The sequence below is a fragment of the Homo sapiens genome, chromosome 17 (assembly GCF_000001405.40).
Source record: "Homo sapiens chromosome 17, GRCh38.p14 Primary Assembly".
Lineage (NCBI taxonomy): Eukaryota > Metazoa > Chordata > Mammalia > Primates > Hominidae > Homo > Homo sapiens.
In genome coordinates, this window is record NC_000017.11 from 71,289,167 (window position 1) to 71,311,138 (window position 21,972).

Below are 21,972 nucleotides of genomic sequence, written 5' to 3' on the forward strand. Positions count from 1 at the left end.
CAAAGTGCCTCTTTCTCAGCCATCATCTTTTGGATCGGCACATTACCATGTCATACAAAGAATGGCAGATGTCATTCATATTTCCAATTAGCAAAGAAGGGAAGCAGCAAAGTGAGTCTCAAAGTGCGTTCCATAAACCACATTCTAATCATCTTGTTAAAAATGCAGGTTTACTGACTCTACAATATAGAGAGACTAAATTCGACTCTGGTGGAAGCTGTATTTTTACAAGGCACTCTAATAATTCCAAGGCCACTGGGTTTAAGGAGCACAGGGCTGGCAGACTGGAGAAGCATATTATCGATATCTCAATGGGACTTTTACAACAGCTTACTTATTTCCATTTTTATAGATGATAAAACAGCAATTCGATGAGATTCAGTGATTTGTGCAAAGGCACATCAGAGTCCATTGCAAATCAGTAAGGGGTATAACTAGCAATATCTAACTAAACAGAAATAAATGTATAACTAGAAATAAAACCTAGATCTTTCAACTTCTGGTTTTCTTTGTTCTTTGAACTATGTCAGGCTGCCTCCTTCTGACATAGGAGAGATTTGACGGTGGCTCTTTTAAAATCTGCTATGGTAGCTCTCAAAGTGGGTAATAATAGTGTGTGATTTATTTATGCCTCACAGTATCATTCCTGGTGAACACAGGCCTCCAATCTTGATCACGCTCCCCTAAATGTGGTCCTATGAAAAAATGCACACTTCCTACTCAGACATGAAACTATTTTAGTTCCTAAGCAAAATCTTTAAGCCATGGGAATTGGAAGGATCGCTATTCCAATAGCTAAATTGTAATTATATTAGGTGTTCCAGGCACCATTATAAATTCTTAATGCATGTATTAAATAAAACAGATGAGCTCATTCACTTTTTTAAAGCAAACCACTGAGGTAAGTACCAGCACTCCCTGATGAAGACAGTGAGACCCGATGTGACTTGCCCAAGTTTACACAGCTCTAAGCTGGGCAATGAAGAAAGGATGTTTTGCTCTAGAGGAAGCAAGATTAACCACCACTAATACTGCCTCTCTGTCTACAGTGGTGGGAGTGTATGATGGGCATTGGGGTTGGGAAGCTCTGTGTAAGTAAGTTTCAGTGGAGAAAAAAATATTCCCCAAATAGCTCAGGAATGTGCCAGCAATATAGAACTATAAATTTACTTTTGCATAAGGCATCTAAAGGCACATTTAAAATAAATCATCACCTTTAAAATCAATCAATCAAATAATACAGATGTACAAGTGACCATGAAGCTGATGTGGTTCAGTTATTTTATTTTATAGATGAGGAAATTAAGGATCTGAGAGGTAAAGACCTTTTTCTAAAGTCTCAGATTGCACAAAGGTAAGTATTGGCCAAGTTGTGTAAGTTGCGAATACAATCAATTTCTTGAAACAGTGCCTGAGGTTAGAATGTCAGTATTGTTCTAGTGCCATGATACTGCTCAATCACTAGCATCCGCAAAACCTCAGAAGGATACAGCAGTAAGTGTTTGTTGCTCACAAGACTGGTTTGGTTATCTAGGTGCCTCTGCTGATTTTTGACTGAGCTTTCAAATTTCTGGGGGTCAGTTGACTACTGATCGACCTGTGATGGCCTCAGCTGTGGCAAGCTGGCTCTATCACATAGATCTCTCATCCTCTAGCTTGGAACACTTTTTTATGTCAATGGAAGACATGCAAGCACACAAGAGGAAATGTGTACACATCATTTCATGCTTCTGCTTGCCTTCATGTGACTCCAATCATCTAATTGACCAAAGCAAGTCACCTGGCCAGCCCCTGACCAGAACTGGGCAAGGGACACAGAAACAAAGAGGGTCAGTGGATTACAACCATTAATGCAATTAATCTACCACAATGAGGGAGGAGGAAAGGCCTGGCATGGAAGTAGTTTCAAGGAGGAGGCAAAAAATCAAATAAGGCCAATTTATGCAATGTTCATTTTAACATCCAAACTTTGAAGTCACATCTTCCATTTTAGGGCTCATTTGCTATATGTAATAAAGAGAAATACATCATTTTGCAGAAGTAAGGAAAGTGCGGAATTTAAGAAGCCTGCACCATTTTATAAAAGCAGGTTTACCATGCTAGCAAGCATCATATTGAATTTAGAGATTCTGGCACATGTTCCAACTCCACTTAGGTTATTCATAGATAAACATAGATTCCTTTTCAGAACAACTGGGAAACATATATATATATAAAATTTAATTTTTTAATTTGATTTAAATTTTAAAATAAAATTGAGTTTTAATTACATATATTATAAATTATGTATGTATATGTGCATGTGTATATATATGTCATGCAACAGGAAACTTTATAATGGATCTATCAAGTTTAGTTTAAGAAGTGAATTTACTTTGTTTAATTTACAAACGATCGAAGTATTAGCAATTTATAAAGGATTAACACATTTGAAAATTTTTCAGAATTATCCTAGGACTAATTTGGATACTTATAACAAAACATTAATATGCTGTACTTTGGTTAAATCAGAGATAATATTTTTAAATGGAGATCTATTTTTTAATATGTGTGAGTATGTGAGGAAAATGTTGTTTAAGGATTAAAATACCTTTCTCAAGGAGGTAAAATTCAAGTGTTGCATTTTTTAAAAATTGTAGCTGTTATTCCTGGTAAAGACCAAAACTATTTTCACCTTTCCTCCATGCTGTTTGGACTCATTCCATAACTAACCTTCTTCTGTCACTTCCCAAGTCTCTTAAAATGACTTCTTTAAAAACGCACATGGACTCACACAGCCTCACAAGCATACAAGCTCTCATACAAGTGAGATTAAAATGAAACAACAGAAACAAATAAAAACAAATAAGCACAATCCTACTAATATAAACTCTTGCAAAGTCTGGCAATAAAGATTATCTCACGTATTCTATTAAAGTCCCATTATAAAATAAAACAAACAGAAGTATCAAATAGCTTCATCATAGCTGTTGGCTTCTCAAGAAACTGAGGCTATAGAGCTTTGGCTGCCTTTTATGTTTATTTCAGAAAAATAAAATTATTATAAACAGATTGCTATTGTAGTGTTACCATGGTCCCCTTGCCAGGTCATTGTAAGAGGTTAATAGGTTAAAATTTGATGTTGCAATGTTATCCTTTAAAATAAAATGCTACTCTAACAATGAGTGCAGTACAACAGCTAAATTGAAGGATATCAAGATGGTTTTGTCAAAATGCTCTGCTGTCCAGTGACCTCTTTTTCACGATGCCAGGGAATCCTATGTATTATATTGCCTGCGAATTTTTGATTTATTAGAAGAAGCATTTTTTTTAAATCGTGGAGGCAACAGTAACTTCATTAACCTGTAGGTGGAGATAATAATAGTCATAAAAGTAATATGGATGACTGCACAGCTCTACAAATATACTAAAAACTATTGAATTGTGTCCTTTGAATGGATGGATTGTATAGCATATGAATTATGTCTTAATAAAACTATATAAAAATCAAGAGAATTTTTGTTTACAAAAAGAAATATGGATAAGATAAAACAACAAGCCAGAGACTGGTAGATTGAATCAGTTGGAGGGTTTCTTTTCCCACATTCAGTGGCATATAAAATTGCCTCCCAATGAATAAATTCAGTCTTCTGGTGGGATCTGTCCATTTTCTTTAAGAAAAAGTTTAAGTATTTATCTCCATCACTATTTATTAACAACTGTTAAACTCCATGATGTCTTGTGAGCTGTGTCTGTCTTCTCTAGCTATGGGAAGTATTTGATTATTATCTTCTAAGAATTTGGAAGGAAAAGGATGTGATTGAGGTCTCTTAAAAGATTCCTGGGGAACCAAATTTTCTTCAGTAAATGTTATCAGAAATGAGACAGATTTCACATCATCAGTCTTCATATGTATTGGAATTTTTCTCTGTGAGCAGAAATGCACCTAAGACTTTACTAGCTGAAATTTTTTATTTATTCTCAACGTGTTGAGGTATGAGGTCAGACTTGACTCAAGACAAGATTGAAGACTTGCTGAAACAGGGAAGAGGCTCTGAAAACACCTCTCCCTAGGACATGCCCATCAGCACCATGACAGTTTACCATTGCTATGGCAAGACCTAGGGGTTGCCACCCCTTTCCATGGCAACACCCGGAAATTACCACCTGTTTTTTAAAAATTTCTGGATAATCTGCCACTTAATTTGCACATAATTAAAAGTGGGTACAAATATGACTACAGTACCACCTCTGAGCTGCTACTCTGGGCACCCTGTCTATGGGGTAGCCCTGCTCCACAAGGAGCAGGATCTCTACTGCTGCTGTGCTCTGCTGCTTCAATCAAAGCTGCTGTCTAACACCACCAGCTTGTCCTTGAATTGTTTCCTGGGCAAAGCCAAGAACACTCCTGGGGTAAGCTCCAATTTTGGGACTCACTGGCCTTGCATCACTGTTATTCTGTATTTTTCCATAAGTATCAATTTGTATGCAATTGAAAAGGTGGTAAAAATGCCCAAACAACTATGAGAAGTGATCTATTCAGTTAAACACACACATAATGTCATTGTAACAGAAAATAGCTTATTATTATTTGGCTTGCTTATATTTGCTTAACTTCTGGGGCTAAATTTGTAGATAAGAGCAGTCAGACAGACATAGTGTATTAGTCCATTCTCACACTGCTATAAAGGTACTACCTGAGACTGGATAATTTATGAAGAAAAGAGGTTTGATTGACTCACAGTTCTCCATGGCTGGGGAGGCCTCAGGAAACTTACAATCATCGCAGAAGGTGAAGGGAAACAAGACACGTTTTACGTGGTGGCAGGAGAGAGAGAGTGAAGGGGGAAGTGCCACTTTTAAACCATCAGATCTTGGGAGAACTCACTATCATGAAAAGAGCATAGGAGAAACCGCCCACCGAAAATCCAATTACCTCTGACAAGGTCCCTCCCTTGACACATTAGGATTACAATTCCAGATGAGATTTGGGTGGGGACACAGTGCCAAACCATATCACAGAGCCTTATACCATTTCTATTGTTCCTTGAACATATATGTTTTTTGTTTGGGTCACTGGCTTGCCCTTTGGAAGCAAAACAGCAAGCTCCTTTGAGTATTTTACTTTTTTTCTATTAATTGAACAGATGAAAGTTAAAAAAAAAATAAGGATTCTAAACTCATGTAGCTGTTTACCAAATAGATCTAACACATGTGAATATATTTTCATTTTTTCAACCTGCTTTGATATATAGTGTATGTTTGACCCTTGCAACAACCATGTTAATAATTCTAGCTGGAATGGTTTTTAATCTCTCGAAATTCCTAGAATACTTTCCTATTTCTTCCCGGAGGTTCATAGAATATTTGCTAACTATACTGCTATTTGTGGATGTAGTTTGTCTAACTTAATATATTATAAATGTTTCAAAAGCAGGGGCGTATTCCTTCACGCTGTGCAATCCCCTATAGCACTTAGCACCAAATAAATGAGTGCAGATATGCCCAATTAGCAAATAAATGGAACTACAAAGAGACTAACCCAAATTTTTTCTTAAATTGAAAAGCAACTTTAGGTCTCCAGAAAGCAATTTTAAAATATGTATCAATATCCCTTGAGTCAATTTCCCATTCAAGATATTTATGCTAAGGAAGTAACCTTAGATGCAATCAAAAGATGTTATCCTAGCATTATTTAAAATATGGTTTTAAAGGAAGTGGCTTAAATGCAAATAAATAAATAAATAAATGAAATAGTATGCAGTCCCTAAGTATGAGGTTTTAGATGGTTTTCAAATTCATGAAAAATACTCAAAATCTATGGTTATGTTAAAATATATATATTTTTTATTGTTTTCTAGGTTTCAGAACGCGATTGCTCATGTTTTCAAAATGGTTCTTATCTTTTAACAAGATACATTGGAAGACATATATTTATAGATTAAAACAATCTAGAGTCTGGGATTTGTTTGGAAATATGAGGTGAATAAGTAGGTAGAAGTACAGATGAATAAAGGACTGACGATGAGTTGATAATTTATAAACTAGATGATGGGTACATTGGGTATACTATTGTTCTATTTTTTAAGTCTTTTTTTTTTTTTTTTTTTTTTTTTTTTGGCAAAGTCTTACTCTGTCACCCAGGCTGGAGTGAAGTGGCATGATAATAGCTCACTACAGTGTCAAATTCCTAGACTCATGCAATCCTCCCATCTCAGCCTCCCAAATAGCTGGGACTACAGGCGTGCACCACTACGCCTTGCCAATTTTTAAATTTTTTGTAGAGACAAGGTCTCACTATGTTGCCCAGGATGGCCTCCAAGTCCTGGGCTCGTGATTCTTCTGCCTCAGCCTCCCAAAGTGCTAGGATTACAGGCATGAGCCACCACACCAAGTCTATTGTTCTATTTTGTTTATATTTAAAGTTCCATAGTAGAAAAAATTCAAAAACCACGTGTATGTATCATCTAGGTGAGTAAGATAGCTTCCATTTGTCCTACTCCCCATATAACTTTTCCATTCTCTGCCTCACTGGTCTCTGCCTGATGGAGCTTGTCTTAGTTTATTTGTATTGCTATAAAGGAATACCTGAAACTGAGTAATTTGTAAAGAAAAGAGATGTATGTTTCTCACAGTTCTGCAGGCTGTGCAAGAATCATGGTGCTTCTCGGGAGGCCCTCAAGCTGCTTCCACTCATGGCAGAAGTGAATGGGAGCAAGCATGTGCAGAGATCACATGGCGACAGAGAGGAAGTGAGAGAGAGGAGGAGGTGCCTGGCTCTTTTAAACAACCAGTTCTTACAGGAACTAAGAGTGAAAACTCACTCATTCCCATGAGACTGGCACCAAGCCATTCACGAGGGATCTGCTTCCATGACCCATACACCTCCCACCAGGACCCCACCTCTGACACTGGGGATAACATTTCAACATAAGACTTGGCAGGGTCAAACAAAACATATCCAAACCACAGCAGATGCTGACCTGCAAGGCTGGTTCCCTGAGCATATAAACTGTGCAGTTGTTCACATGTCCCCATGCTCAGAAGGTTCTCACTCTTGGTTTAACACTCTCTTATCACCTTCCTGAAATTGTAATAATTTTTGAATAGGTGCTGTAATTTTTTATTTGCACTGGGCGCTATAACTTAGGTAGGCAGCCAGTCTTGCTGAATTATATTAGTGTGTGCAGTAAAGATTTAACTCAGTGCAAAGAAAGATTTGTCCCTTTCCTCCTAACTCTTGGGAGGTCATCTCTAAGCACTTGGAATGTCCTCCCTGATAAGAATGCCTTTGTTTACCTGGGGGTGATAGGGACATGCCAGAGTCTTTATGGCAATAGTGTTATAGGGTGGGCCACAGTAACAGCTCAACGTCTGGAGTCACTAGTGACTGAGTTCAACCACACAACAGTCATATATATAAAAGTGGCCAATTCTTAATATAAACTCTGGACACCAACGCTCAAGTGAGCTTTCTTCATTGGCAATTTATCTGCATATTGTCACATGTCATTGCTAGGAGTAGTTAATGCCATCTACATGACTCCACTAGGAGAGGACATCTGGAATCTCTACCCCAGGCCCCTTCTCAACTTTGTTCTATGTGCCTCTGTGCCTCTTCCCTTTGCTAATTTTGACCTGCATCCTTTAGTGTAATAAACCATAACCATGAGTATTACAGTTTTACTGCAGTCTGTGAGTACTTTTAGCAATTTTTTTTGAATGGAAGGTGGTCTTGGAGACTCCCTCAAACTCACAGGTTAACCTTAATGGGTTTCCATGTCCTCTGGCTTACTGTTGAGTTCCGTCAATGCACAGGCCCCATAGAAAACTGGGGAAAGATAAATGAGAGGTCAAGGTATTTATAATCCTGATTCTCTCCCCATGAGAGGGTGTCTTATGCTGGCTGTGTCTCTGAAAGTCAGAGGGCGTAATGCTCCCACAAAGCATCCTGTTCCATATGATGCTTTCTAGCTTCCTATAACCTTCCCCTCATCTCTTTGGCTGACAGCCCTTCCACTTCTGGATCCCTTACATTCAGCTACACCTTTGCAATGAGTTCCTTTGAAAGCAAACCATCTCATGTTTTCATTTTTGTTTTTCCTAACATAAGCAGGTCTTCTGTTTCCTGCCTGTCTTCCTGTTTCCTATCTGGCTGATAGAAAATACAAGGGCAAGAAGTATACAAAATGCGGGGTGGCAATGATGGTTGCATTCTGTATTTTTTTATTGCATTGTTTTATATTTTGTAATAAAACCTTTCATACTTTTGTTATCAAGAAAAAATATTATTTTTAAAAAAGTAGTAATGCATGGGACAACTAGCAGTTCTACTGTCAGACATCTTAACCTCTGAATTGTGCCCTTTCTTCATTCAACCAACTCTCTATTTGAGGTCAGTAATCCCTTGACCCTCCCTTTGTTCTTCATCATCACTCACTGGCTATTTTGGCTACTATCCCTTCCTTCCCTCTCATGCTGTGAAAACTCCCTTAGGATTGCTGAGTGATGACTTGCTGTTGATCCTGGAGTTTTCATTTTTCTTTTACTTTGAGTCCCCACAGATGGGGAGGGTGATTCCTAAGAGTGGGAAGTTGGTTCCGTCCTCCCGGCTGCCTGGTTCTCCCTAGCTTTCCCAGCGCTGTAGAGCACGGAGGTCGCAGAGAGGAAAGACAATGTAAAGCAACAAACATAACCAGAAAAGGCCAATTTCATCATTTTCTTTTTCATAAATTCCCCCCAAAATAGGATGATCACATCCTCATTATTAAATGTGGTCTAATTTTTAAAAGAAAATTTATCTTATATTAGTAACTATTTCCTAAAATGTCGAAGTTAATATTTAAACCCTGTTAAGTGTTCTTGTAGTTGTATTGACTGCACTATACTTATCCCAATTGCTGGGATTACACAAAAGGATAAAAACAGCTATGAATATTATATAATATTTAATGATACCTAATTTCTTATAGAACTATGAGGTAATTAAATACTTTGTTCCTTTTTTAATTGAGGCTTTCAGGTACAGGCTAGAAAACTTGCTAGACAAATTCTAACAGAGCTGTTGTCAAATACTTTGTATAATGTTTTTCACAGGGAACTTTGTGTCAGAGCATAGAGATGGTTAGAGATTAGCGCTCCTGATAGATTTGAGGCGAATGGAGAGGAGGGAACTGAAACTTGTTAACATGCTATGCACTATATACACGTCATGCTTTACAGATACCGTCTTGTTCAACTGTATTGTAAGCTAGGTATTGTTATTTCTATTTTGTACACAATTGTCCAAATTTTATAGCTGGTAACTTTGATTCAAATCTTCATACTTTTCAATATGGCAAACTGCTATATCAATAATGTTAATTTGTCTAATACATATCTTTTGTTCAAATTCAAGCCCATTAGATCCTTTTGTTAAATGAACAAATTATGTTAACAATTTTAAGGAATAATAATATCAACTAGTAGAATTTCCAGATATTGGGATAAGTGGCTTTTTCATATAAGAAGTCAATAATGTCAAGTTAAGAAAATAAACCTTCAAAGACAATCAGAGCTTTACATCTCATAGAAGAATCTGAGTAATAACCTTCCTGTGTAGGAAATAGTTATGTTTTCAATCTTTAACATGGTCAGACTAAAAATATAACCATCATTGATTAAGTTCCTGATTTATTCTTCATATACCACAGTAGAATCTCTAAATATGATTGGCACCTAAGTTGACCTTTTGTGGCCCTGAAATAGATTTTCAGGTTAAAAAAAAATAGGGTGACTATGGCTGGAAAAGTTCAGGTCCAGGTTCATGTCACAACTGGATGAAGCAGTGGATTAGGATTTCCTCACTTTCGAGCCTTGGTTTTTGTTAAGCTTGTTTCGCTTAACACACAGGCCTTTTGCCCTGCTGGGTGAGTCAAAGATGATCTACGCCAGGGCTCTCACTAATACCAGTTTTTTTTTGTTGTTTTTTTTTTTCCTCATCCCCTCAATACCCTCGGGAGTTGGAGAGGTTTTCTTATTATCTCCTCAAAACCACTGAGTTATTGAACTGCTGAATTCTGACTAAAGCCACTAAACCCAGGCAATGCCCAGCAGGAGATAAGAGATTTATTTGGCGGAAAAATTGAACCAATGAGTCTCTACACTCTACGACTCTGGACACAATAGACGACAGTAGGACTAAGGGGAAGTCTGCACTGTGACCTGCAAAACATGTGCCCCTGTCCAATAGCCCCACTGTCACCCAGACAAAATTCCTACAGAACTCCCCAAAGAAAACCTCCCAGCACCTCTGCAGCCAACATTTTTGGTGTCCCTCTACCAACCCCACCATCTGCAGGTCTTTCAAGTTCCCTTTATCATATCAGGGAACCTGTCCCCAAGCCTTTGTGTGCTTTTGCTTCTAAGAGCTCGCACCTGGGACTCTATTTGAAGGGCACTTTTCCTACTGGAGCCTCTTTGTCCTGTATGCCAAAGAGAGAACTAAAGATGTCTGAGAGTTATCCTTCTCCTCAGATGACACTTAACCAGTGACTGACTCAAGAGGGTGTGTGAGAGCCTAGCTCATATACCCTACCCTACAGTTTCCCTGTAGCTTTGGACTGGAGTTGGGATTTTGCCTGGAATCTTACTCTTCCTTGCCTTCTTCCTCTTGTCCGCCATGCTAATCCCACTCTTAACAATATCACAAGGGTGTTTGCTTAATAGATCACTTCCATAAGAATTCTCCCTTAGCACTTGCTTTTGGAGAACTTAATCCAAGATGACACCCAATCACTATACAGAAAAACACCAAACACACAGACTTTTCCATATGTTATCTAGTGCCTCAGTCCTAATTATATATGTACACCCAGGAATCACCAAGCTTCTGAATAAAGCTTCCAAGATGAAACTCAGAGGCCAAAACAAAACAAATCAATATGAAAATCAGGGAACAAAAACAACAAAAACAAAAATGCCAAAAGCTCAGTGTCAATGTCAGTATTTACATTAGGTTTGAGTGTTTATATTATTTTAACATTACAAATAGTTTTCATCAGCATCATCACCTGGGAACTCATTAAAATGAAAATTCTCAGGCTCACCCCGGAACTACCCAATCAAAAACTCTCTGGGTAGAGCCTAGCAGTTTTGAATTTTAACAAGCCTTGCAGTCAATTCTGATCTAACCTCAAGTTGAAAATAACACATCAGAAGCATGTAATAACAACAATAATAAGTTGTTATATGAATACATTAAGAGAATGGGAGAAGAAAAGTGTCTGTTGGGAGGATGGAGAAACAGAAATCTTAATCTCATTTATCATAAGTAGAAGTCAACAGATTAGTAACTAGGATTGCTATACCAATAAATAGCACCATTCATTCATTCACTGGACAAATGTATTGAGTACTTATTGTATTCTAGGCATGGTTCTTCATTCTAATACAACAACAAGCAAGAAAAAAAGTTTGCCATTCTCCTGAAGCTTACTTTCTAACTGGGGAAAAAATAAACACACAAATAACAAAAGGAAAAACACATGAGGCACTGATGACAGAGGGACAGAGCATCTATTTTACATTGAGTGCTTAGGAAATACTCTGATAAGTGACATCAGAACAGGCAAAAGACACAGAAGCAGCCCCAGCCCAATCATTTGGATCTTTACAGGCTTTGGGAAAGGTTTGGGGATTTATTGAGTGAAATAGGAAGGCAGTCCAGGATTTTGAGAAGATACATAACATGATCAGACTTATGTTAAGGCTCTGTGGAGGTGGAAAGTTGTATTTTCCAAGTAGGGCCATAAAAATGTTTCTTATCCCACATATTTTTCTGCAATGTGTCCCTGACATGTCTCTCACTGGAAAGTAAAATCTGTGTCCTCTCACTCAAATCTGGGGAAGTTTGTGACTTTCAGTGATTGTCAAGGCTAGGTCAGAAAAGGCAATGCAACTTACTTTCTCTTTCTTTCTTTCTTTCTTCCTTCCTTTCTTTCTTTCTCTCTCTCTCTTTCTTTCTTCCTTTCTTTCTTTCTTTCTCTCTCTTTCTTTCTTTCCCCTCCTTCCCTCCCTTCCTCCCTTTCTTCCTTCCTTCCATTTCTCCTCTTTTTCTCTTCCTCTTTCCTTCCTTCTCTTCTTCCTTCTCTTTCTCTCTCCTCTTTTTCTTCCTTCCTTGTTTCCATCCTTACCTCCTTTCCTTTCTCTTTCTTCTCTTTCCTTTCTTCCTTCCTTTCTTCTTTCTCTCCTTTCCTCCTTTCTTCTCTTTCTCTCTCTTTCCTCTCTCTTTTCTTCCTTCCTTTCATCCTTCCCTTCTTCTTTCTTTCTTTCTGTTTCCTCCCTCCTTCCTTTCTTCCTCCCTTCCTTCTTTCCTTTCCTTCCTTTCTTCCTTCCCCCTTTCTTTTCTCCCTTCCCTCCCTCCCTCCCTTTCTCTCTCTCTTTCTCTCTTTCTTTCTTTAAAAATTTGTTCAGAGTATTCACGTTTAGACTCCCGAGCCTTCAAATGAGAGAGCTAAGGCCATAGAAAGGCCTCCTGTGGTCACCCCAGGGAGTTGTTCTAACACTCACATGCTCCCAGCCCAGGTGCCAGCCAGGTGAGTGAGGAAGACACATTTAAGTGATCCCAGCCCCAGCTTTCAGGTACCAGGATTTGACTCTTCCCAGCTGAGGCTTTAGATACTGTGGCACCTCAAAGAAAAGACAGATCATCCCTGTTGTGCCCTGTTCAATTCGCTGACCCACAAAATCTTTAGCATAATACAATAGTTATTTTACACCACTGAGTATGGGTTGTTTGCTATGCAGCAATTGTAGCTGAAACAGTGACAGATAGATTTCAGGACCTAGCTACGAACAGAGCCAGCATTACCAGAAGCATCAATATCACCTGGCATCTGGTTAATAATGCAAAATCTCAAGCCTATTCCAGGCCTACTACATCAGAATGTGCATTTTAACCAGATCTCCAGGTGATTTGAAAGCACGTCAAAGTATGTTTCCAAATCTGTTTTAATCTTTGAGCTAAAATATACTTACAGGAAAATGCACACATCTTAAGTGACTATTTACCTATGCATACATCTGCACAACTACTACCCAGATGAATATACAGAACATTTATTTCCATCACACCCAGAAAATTTCCATGTGCTCCTTCTGAATCAAAAACCCTCTCTCAAACCCTCCTAGAAATAACAACTTTTCTGATTTCCATCACCATATATAAAATATTTTGCTGTTGAATTTCATAAAAATGAAATTATTCAGTATGAATTTTGTTTGTTTCTGGCTTCTTTTGCTCAGTATACTGTTTTTGAAATTCATTCTTGTTGTATTTCTCAGTAGCCTATTCTTCTTAAAAATTGCTGTGTAGTGTTTCATATAAATATACTATTTTTTAAATTATATTCTCCTATTGATGGACATTTGGCATTTTCTAGTTTGTAGTTATAATAACTCAGGTGTGTGTGTATGTGTTTGTGTGTGTGTATGTATGTGAACACAAGTACAGTATTCATTTCTCTTAAAGAAGAAATACCTATGAATGGAACTGTTGGGTCAAGGGTAGGTGTGTGTTTAACTTTATTAGAAATTGCCAAAGTGTTTTCCAATGTGGTTGGGCCATTTTACTTTCCCACGAGCTAGAAGGAGAGATCTAGTCACTCTACTTCTTTGACAATAGTCGGTATTGTCAGCCGCTTAAATTTAGCCATTCTGGTGGGTGTGTAGTAGAACCTCTTTGTGGTTTTCATTTGAATTTCCTTAATGACTAATGATGTAGAACATTTCTTCATATGCTTATTGACTATGAGATATCTTCTTTGAGAAATCCCTTCCCAGTCTTTTTTCTATATTTTAATTGAGCTGTATTGAGTGCAGAAGTTCATTACTATTCTAGATATGAGTCCTTTGTCAAACCTTGTGGCCGTAGGCAGTTCCTAAGATGATTCGTAACAATCCTCGCCCTCTTGTACTCATACCCTTGGGCAATCTATCCCCTTCCCTTAAGTGCCAGTGAGACTATGACTCGTTTCTAATCAATGGTGGGAAAAAGGGATGAGATGTCACTACCACCATGTTTAGGTGACATAAAGTTGTAACTTACATCTTGCTAATAGGCTCTATTTTCTTGTTGGCCTGCATACTTCATGAAGCAAGCTGCTGTGCTGGAGAGGTCAACATGCAAGGAATTAACGGTGACTGAAGCTCATAACCCAGCATGCCTAGAGAAACTCGATTCTGCCAAATACCATGTGAGCTTAAAGGCAGGTCCCTTCCACATCAGCTTTCAGAGAGCATTCCAGCCCTGGCTGAAATATTGACTACAGCATTGTAAGAGATCCTAAAGCAGAAAATCCAGCTAAACTATGTTCAAACTCCTGCCACACAGAAATTATGAGATAATAAATGTATTGTTTTCAGTTGCATAATGTCTTTTTTTATACAATAGAAAATACATATGCAAATATTTTTCCTGAGTTATAAATGATCATGCTGATGGGTGTGCAGTGGTAGCTCAGTGTGGTTTTAATTTGCATTTTCTTAATAATGCTTTTGATATGCTTTGGGCTATTGGATATCTTCAGTGTGAAGGACTTGTTCAAACTTTTGCCTGTACATACATATGTGTGTGTGTGTGTGTGTATATGTATATATATATATATATATATATATATATATATATATATATATGTATTTTTTTTTTTTTTTGAGACAGGGTCTCACTCTGTCACCCAGGCTGGAGCGCAGCGGCACAATCTTGGCTCACAGCAACCTCTGCCTCCCAGATTCAAGCGATTCTCCTGCCTCAGCCTCCCGAGTAGCTGTGACTACAGGCACATGCCACCACGCCAGACTAATTTTTGTATTTTTAGTAGAGATGGGTTTCTCCATGTTGGCCATGCTGGTCTCAAACTCCTGACTTCAAGCGATCTACCCGCCTCAGCCTCCCGAAGTGCTGGGATTACAGGCATAAGCCACCACGCCCAGTCTATATTTTTAATTGGGTTGTTTATCTTTTATTATTATTGAGTAATGGGGCTTTTTAAATCTATAAATTCTGGCTATTTCTTCTTTGAATTCATATACTAAAAATATTTCCTCCTGCTTGCTTCAGCAGCACATATACTAAAATTGAAATGATACAGAGAAGATGATGGTGGATAGGAGGCAGAACTAGCTTGCAGCTCCTGCTCAGACAGACAGAGCAATGTGTGGAGACTCACACCGTGAACTTTTGCTCCAAGAACTACTAGAGGAAAAATGAGGGAAGCCAAGAGAATCCACAAAACCTTTGAAGAACTGGATCATCGCTGCAGGCTCCCTGAGATACCGAAAAACTGAGTCTGCCTGCTTTCACGAAGGGGAGGCTCATGGTCTGGGCAAGTTCTCAGCCCTGGTCACTGGCTGCCTGGAAACAGACTTGGTGCTGTTGCAGGGGCACGGTGGGAGTGAGACCAGCCTTTAGGACCAAGGGAGTGGGGTGAGGCCTGTGACTGCTAGCTTTTCCACACTTCCCTGGAAACCTGTATGACTCAGCAGAGGCAGCCATAATCCCCCTGGGAATACAACTCCATTGGACTGAGAACCCATCCCCCACAGCAGCCACAGCAAGCTCTGCCCAAGGAGAGGCTGAGCTCAGCCATGCTTATGTCTGCCCCTATCTGGTGGTCTTTCTCTTCCACCTTTATCCGCCTCCCCCCACCTCTACCCCATAGCTGAAGACAAAAGAGTTCTATGGCCCTGCCTACCACCTGAGAAACCTGAATACTTAACCAGGTGGCCATAGGGCAAGTTTACATCCTACCTATAGGACCACGGCTGATGCATTCTTGAAAGCGCCACCTCCTGGTTGGAGACCAACCAACACAAAACCAGCACACTGAACAGAAACACAACCAAGGACCCTCACACAGTCCACTTCACTCCCCTCCTACCTCCACCAGAGGAGGTGCTGGTATCCATGGCTGAAAGACCTGAAGATGGATCACATAACAAGACTCTTTGCAGACACTCCCCAGTACCAGCACGGAGTCTGGTAGCTCCAGTGGGTGGTAAGACCCAGAAGAGCAAAAACAATTACTACAGTCCGGCTCTCAAGAAACCCCATTCCTGGGGGAAGGGGGAGAACACCACATCAAAGGAGCACCCCATAGGACAAAAGAATCTGAACAGCAGCCCTTGAATCCCAGATCTTCCCTCTAACATAGTCTACCCAAATGAGAAGGAACCAGAAAAACAATTCTGGCAATATGACAAAACAAGGTTCTTCAACACTCCCAAAAGATCATACCAGCTCACCAGCAATGCATCCAAACCAAGAAGAAATCTCTGGATTGCCAGAAAAAGAATTCAGAAAGTCGATTAGTAAGCTAATCAAGGAGGCACTAGAGAAAGATGAAGTGCAACTTAAAGAAATCAAAAACATGATACAGAATATGAAAGGAAAATGCTTCAGTGAAATAGGTAGTATAAATAAAAAACAACCACAACGTCTGGAAATCAAGGACATACTTAGGGAAATGTAAAATGCACTGGAAAGTCTCAGCAATAGAATCGAACAAGTAGAAGAAAGAACCTCAGCGCTCAAAGACAAGGCTTTCCAATTAACCCAATTTGCCAAAGACAAAGAAAAAAGAATTCTAAAAAATGAACAAAACCTTCAAGAAGTTTGGGACTGGTGTTCCTGAAGAAGCGGAGAAATCTAAAAGTTTGGAAAACCTGTTTGAGGGAATAAATGAGAAAAATTTCTCCAGCCTTACTGGAGAGCTAGACATCCAAATAGAAGAAGCTCAAAGAACACCTGAGAAATTCATTGCAAAAAGATCATTACCTAGGCATATAGTCATCAGATTATCTAAAGTCAAGATGAGGGAAAGAATCTTAACAGCTGTGAGGCAAAAGCATAAGGTAACCTATCAAGGAAAATCTGTCATATTAACAGTAGATTTCTCAGCAGAAACCCTACAAGCTAGAAGAGATTGGGGTCCTATTTTTAGCCTCTTTAAGCAAAACAATGATCAGCCAAGAATTTTGTATCCAGCAACACTAAGCTTCATAAATGAAGGAAGGATAGTCTTTTTCAGACATATAAATGCTGAGAGAATTTGCTGCTACCAACAAGCACTGCAAGAACTAATAAAAGGAGCTCTAAATCTTGAAACAAATCCTCAACATACAATAAAATAGAACCTTAAAGCATAAATCTCACAGGACCTATATAACAATAACACAATAAAAAAATAGAACCTTAAAGCATAAATCTCACGGGACCTATATAACAAAAACACAATTTAAAAAAAGGGTATTCAGGCAACAAATAACACAATGAATAGAATAGTACTCTTTGCACCTCAATACTAACATTGAATGTAAGTGGCCTAAATGTTCCACTTAGAAGATACAGAATGGCAGCAAACATATTTGGAAAACATATTTGAGGGAATAATTGAGGAAAACTTCCTTGGCCTTGCCAGAAATCTAGACATCCAAATATAAGAAGTTTAAAGAGCACCTGAGAAATTCATTGGTTGGATAAAAATTCACCAAGTTTCTGCTATCTTCAGGACACTCACCTAACATATAAGGACTCACATAAACTTAAGGTAAAGGGGTGGAAAAACATATTCCATGTGAACAGACACCAAAAGTGAACAGGAGTAGCTATTCTTATATCAGACAAAACAAACTGTAAAGCAACAGCAATTTAAAAAGACAAAGAGGGACATTGTATAATGATAAAAAGACTAGTCCGACAGTAAATATCACAATTCTAAATGTATATTCACCTAACACTGGAGTTCCCAAATTTATAAAAAATTACTACTAAACCTAGGAAATGAGATAGACGGCAACGCAATATTAGTGGGGGACTTTAGTACTCCAGTGATGTCACTGGACAGGTCATCAAAACAGAAAGTCAATAAAGAAACAATGGACTTCAACTGTCCCCTACAACAAATGGACTTAACAGACATTTACAGAACATTCTACCCAACAACTGCAGAATGTACATTCTATTACACCAGCACATGGAATAGTCTCCAAAATAGACCATACGATAGACCACAAAACAAGTCGCAGTAAATTTAAGAAAATCAAAATTATATCAAGTACTCTCTCAGGCTACAGTGGAATAAAATTAGAAATCAACTCCAAAAGGAACCCTCAAAACCATGCAAATACATGGAAATTAAATAACCTGCTCCTGAATGATCATTGGGTCAACAATGAAGGCAAGATGGAAATTTAAAAATTCTTTGAAATGAACAATAATAGTGACACAATCTATCAAAACCTCTGGGATACAGCAAAAGCAGTGCTAAGATGAAAGTTCATAGCATTAAATGCCTACATCAAAAAGTCTGAAAGAGCACAAATACACAATCTAAGGTCACACCTCATGGAACTGAAGAAATAAGAAAAATCCAAACCCAAACTCAGCAGAAGAAAAGAAATAACAAAGATTAGACCAGAACTAAATGAAATTGAAACAAACAAACAAACAAAAAACCACAAAAGATAAATGAAACAAAAAGCTGGTTCTTTGAAAAGATAAATAAAATTGATAGATCATTAGCGAGATTAACCAAGAGGAAAGATCCAAATAAGCTCTCTCAAACGAAATGGGAGATATTATAAGAGATACCACAGAAATACAAAAGATTATTCAAGGCTACTATGAACACCTTTACATGCATAAACTAGAAAACCTAGAGGAGATGGATAAATTCCTGGAAATATGCAACCCTCCTAGATTAAACCAGGAAGATATAGAATCTCTGAACAGACCAATAACAAGCAGTGAGATTGAAATGGTAATTTAGAAATTGCCAACAAGGCCAGGCATGGTGGCTCACAGCTGTAATCCCAGCACTTCGGGAGGCTAAGCAGGTGGATCACCTGAGGTCAGGAGTTCGAGACCAGCCCAACCAACATGGTGAAACCTTGTCTCTACTAAAAATACAAAAAATTAGCTGGGGGTGGTGGCAGACACCTGTAATCCTAGCTACCTGGGAGACTGAAGCAGCAGAATCACTTGAACCCGGGAGGTGGAGGTTGCAGTGAGCTGAGATGACATCATTGCACTCCAGCCTGTGCAACAAAAGCAAAATTCCATCTCAAAAAAAAAAAAATTGCCAATGAAAAAAAGTCCAGGACCAGATGGATTCGCAGCTGAATTATATCAGACATTCAAAGACGAATTGGTACCAATCCTACTGACACTATTCCAAAAGATGGAGAAAGAGGGAATTCCCCCCTAAATCATTCTATGAAGCCAGTATCAGCCTAATATCACAACCAGGGAAGGACATGACAACAACAACAAAAAAGAAAATGACAGACCAATATCCCTGATGAACACAGATGCAAAAATCCTCAACAAAATACTAGCAAACCAAACCCAATAGCATATCAAAAAGATAATCCACTATGATCAAGTGGGTTTCATATCAGGGATGCAGGGATAAAGTCAATAAATGTGACAGAGCACATAAACAGAATTAAAAACAAAAAAAATCACATGATCATCTCAATAGATGCAGAAAAAGCATTTGACAAAATCCAACATCCCTTTATGATTAAAACTCTCGGCAAAATCAGCATTTATTAAGGTAATAAAAGCCATCCATGACAAACCCACAGCCAACATATTATACTGAATGGGGAAAAGTTGAAAGCATACGCCCTGAGAACTGGAACGAGACAAGGAAGCCCATTTCACCACTTCTATTCAACATAGTACTGGAAGTCCTAACCAGCGCAATCAGACAAGAGGAAGAAATAAAAGGGCATCCAAATTGGTAAAGAGGAAGTCAAACTGTCTCTGATTGCTGATATGATTGAATACCTAGAAAATCCTAAAGACTTATCCATAAAGCTCCTAGAGCTGGCAAATGAATTCAGCAAAGTTTCCAGATACAAAATTAATGCACACAAATAAGTAGCTCTGCTACACACCAACAGCGACCAAGCTGAGAATCAAATTAAGAACTCAACCCCTTTCACAATATCTGTAAATAAAATAAAATAAAATAAAATAAAATAAAATACTTGGGAATATACCTAACCAAGGACATGAAAGACCTCTATAAGGAAAACTACAAAACACACCTGAAAGAAATCATAGGTGACACAAACAAATGGAAACACATCCCATGCTCATGGATAGGTAGAATCAATATTGTAAAAATGACCATACTGCCAAAAGCAATCTACAAACTCAATGCAATTCCTGTCAAAATACTGCCATCATTCTTCACAGAACTAGAAAAAACAATCCTAATATTCATATGGAACCAAAAAGAGCCCACATAGCCAAGACTAAGGAAAAAGAACAAATCTGGAGGCATCGCATTACCCAACTTCATACTATACTATAAGACCATAGTTACCAAAAAGAGTATGGTATAAAAATAGGCACACAGACCAATGAAACAGAAGAGAAAACCCAGAGATAAAGCCAAATACTTACAGGTAACTAATCTTTGACAAAGCAAATGAAAACGAAACAGGGAATGGACACTCAATTCAACAACTAGTGCTGGGATAATTGGTGAGCCACATGTAGAAGAATGAAACTGGATTCTTATCTCTCACGTTATAAAAAGTCAACTCAAGATGGATCAAGACTTAAGTCTAAGACCTGAAACCACAAAGATTCTAGAAGATGACATCAGAAAAACCCTTCTAGACATTGGCTTAGGCAAAGACTTCATGAACAATAACTCAAAAGCAAATGCAACAAAAGATAAATGGATGGGACTTAATTAAAAAAGCTTCTGCACAACAAAAGAAATAATCAGCAGAGTTGACAGACAACCTACAGAGAGGGAGAAAATGTTCACAATCTATACATCAGACAAAGGACTAATATCCAAAAGCTACAAAGAACTCAAACAAACCAGCAACACAAAACAAACAACGCCATCAAAAAATGGGCTAAGACATGAATAGAAAATTCCCAAAAGAAGATATACGAATGGCCAACAGGCATATGGAAAAACGCTCAACATCACTAATGATCAGGGAAATGCAAATCAAAACCACAATGCGATACCACCTCATTTCTGCAAGAATGACCATAATAAACAAATTAAAAAATAATAGATGTTGGCATTGTTACCATGAAAAGCGAACACTTTTACACTGTTGGTGGGAATATAAACTAGTATAACCACTATGGAAAACAGTGTGGAAAGTCCTTAAAGATCTAAAAGTAGCCTAACATTTGATCCAGCAATCCCACTACTATCTACCCAGAGGAAAAAAAGTCATTATACGAAAAAGATACTTGCACACACATGTTTATAGCAGCACGATTTGCAATTGCAAAAATATGGAACCAGCCCAAATGCCCATCAAACAATGAGATAAAGAAAATGTGGTATATTATGTTCTCACTCATAAGTGGGAGTTTAACAATGAGAACACATGAACGCAGGGTGGGGAACATCACACACCAGGGCCTTTCGGGGGGTGGGGGACTGGGGGAGGGATAGCATTAGGAGAAATACCTAATGTAAATGACGAGTTGATGGGTGCAGCATACCAACATGGCACATGTATGCCTATGTAACAAACCTGCACATTGTGCACATGTACCCTAGATCTTGAAGTATAATAACAAAAAAAGAAAATGTGGTATATATATATATATATATATATATATATATATATATATGCCATAAAATACTACTCAGCCATAAAAAGGAAAGAAATAATGGCATTCGCAGCAACCTGGATGGAACTGGAGACCGTTAATCTAAGTGAAGTAACTCAGGAATGGAAAATCAAACCCTATGTTCTCACTCATGTGGGAGCTAGGCTATGAGGATGCAAAGGCATAAGAACAATACATTGGACTTTGGGGACTCGGGGGGAAGGGTGGGGTTAAAAGACTACAAATTGGGTACACTGTACACTCCTCTGGTGATGGGTGCACCAAAATTTCAGAAGTCACCAATAAGAAACTTATTTATGTAACCAAATACTACCTGTTCCCTAAAAACC

The 21,972-nt window shown here is 38.3% G+C and overlaps 1 pseudogene, besides 3 other annotated features; it reads right to left on the reverse strand.

Moving 5' to 3' along the window:
- RNU7-155P (RNA, U7 small nuclear 155 pseudogene) lies at positions 8,990–9,052 on the reverse strand (annotated as a pseudogene).
- Positions 12,100–12,600: an enhancer, noted in NCBI's record as "H3K27ac hESC enhancer chr17:69297407-69297907 (GRCh37/hg19 assembly coordinates)". NCBI's record gives its function as "activates a minimal SCP1, AML or CMV promoter by ChIP-STARR-seq in naive H9 embryonic stem cells {active_cell/tissue: H9 hESC(naive)}" and the evidence as "EXISTENCE:reporter gene assay evidence [ECO:0000049][PMID:30033119]".
- Positions 14,913–15,413: an enhancer, noted in NCBI's record as "H3K27ac hESC enhancer chr17:69300220-69300720 (GRCh37/hg19 assembly coordinates)". NCBI's record gives its function as "activates a minimal SCP1, AML or CMV promoter by ChIP-STARR-seq in primed H9 embryonic stem cells {active_cell/tissue: H9 hESC(primed)}" and the evidence as "EXISTENCE:reporter gene assay evidence [ECO:0000049][PMID:30033119]".
- Positions 15,414–15,914: an enhancer, noted in NCBI's record as "H3K27ac hESC enhancer chr17:69300721-69301221 (GRCh37/hg19 assembly coordinates)". NCBI's record gives its function as "activates a minimal SCP1, AML or CMV promoter by ChIP-STARR-seq in primed H9 embryonic stem cells {active_cell/tissue: H9 hESC(primed)}" and the evidence as "EXISTENCE:reporter gene assay evidence [ECO:0000049][PMID:30033119]".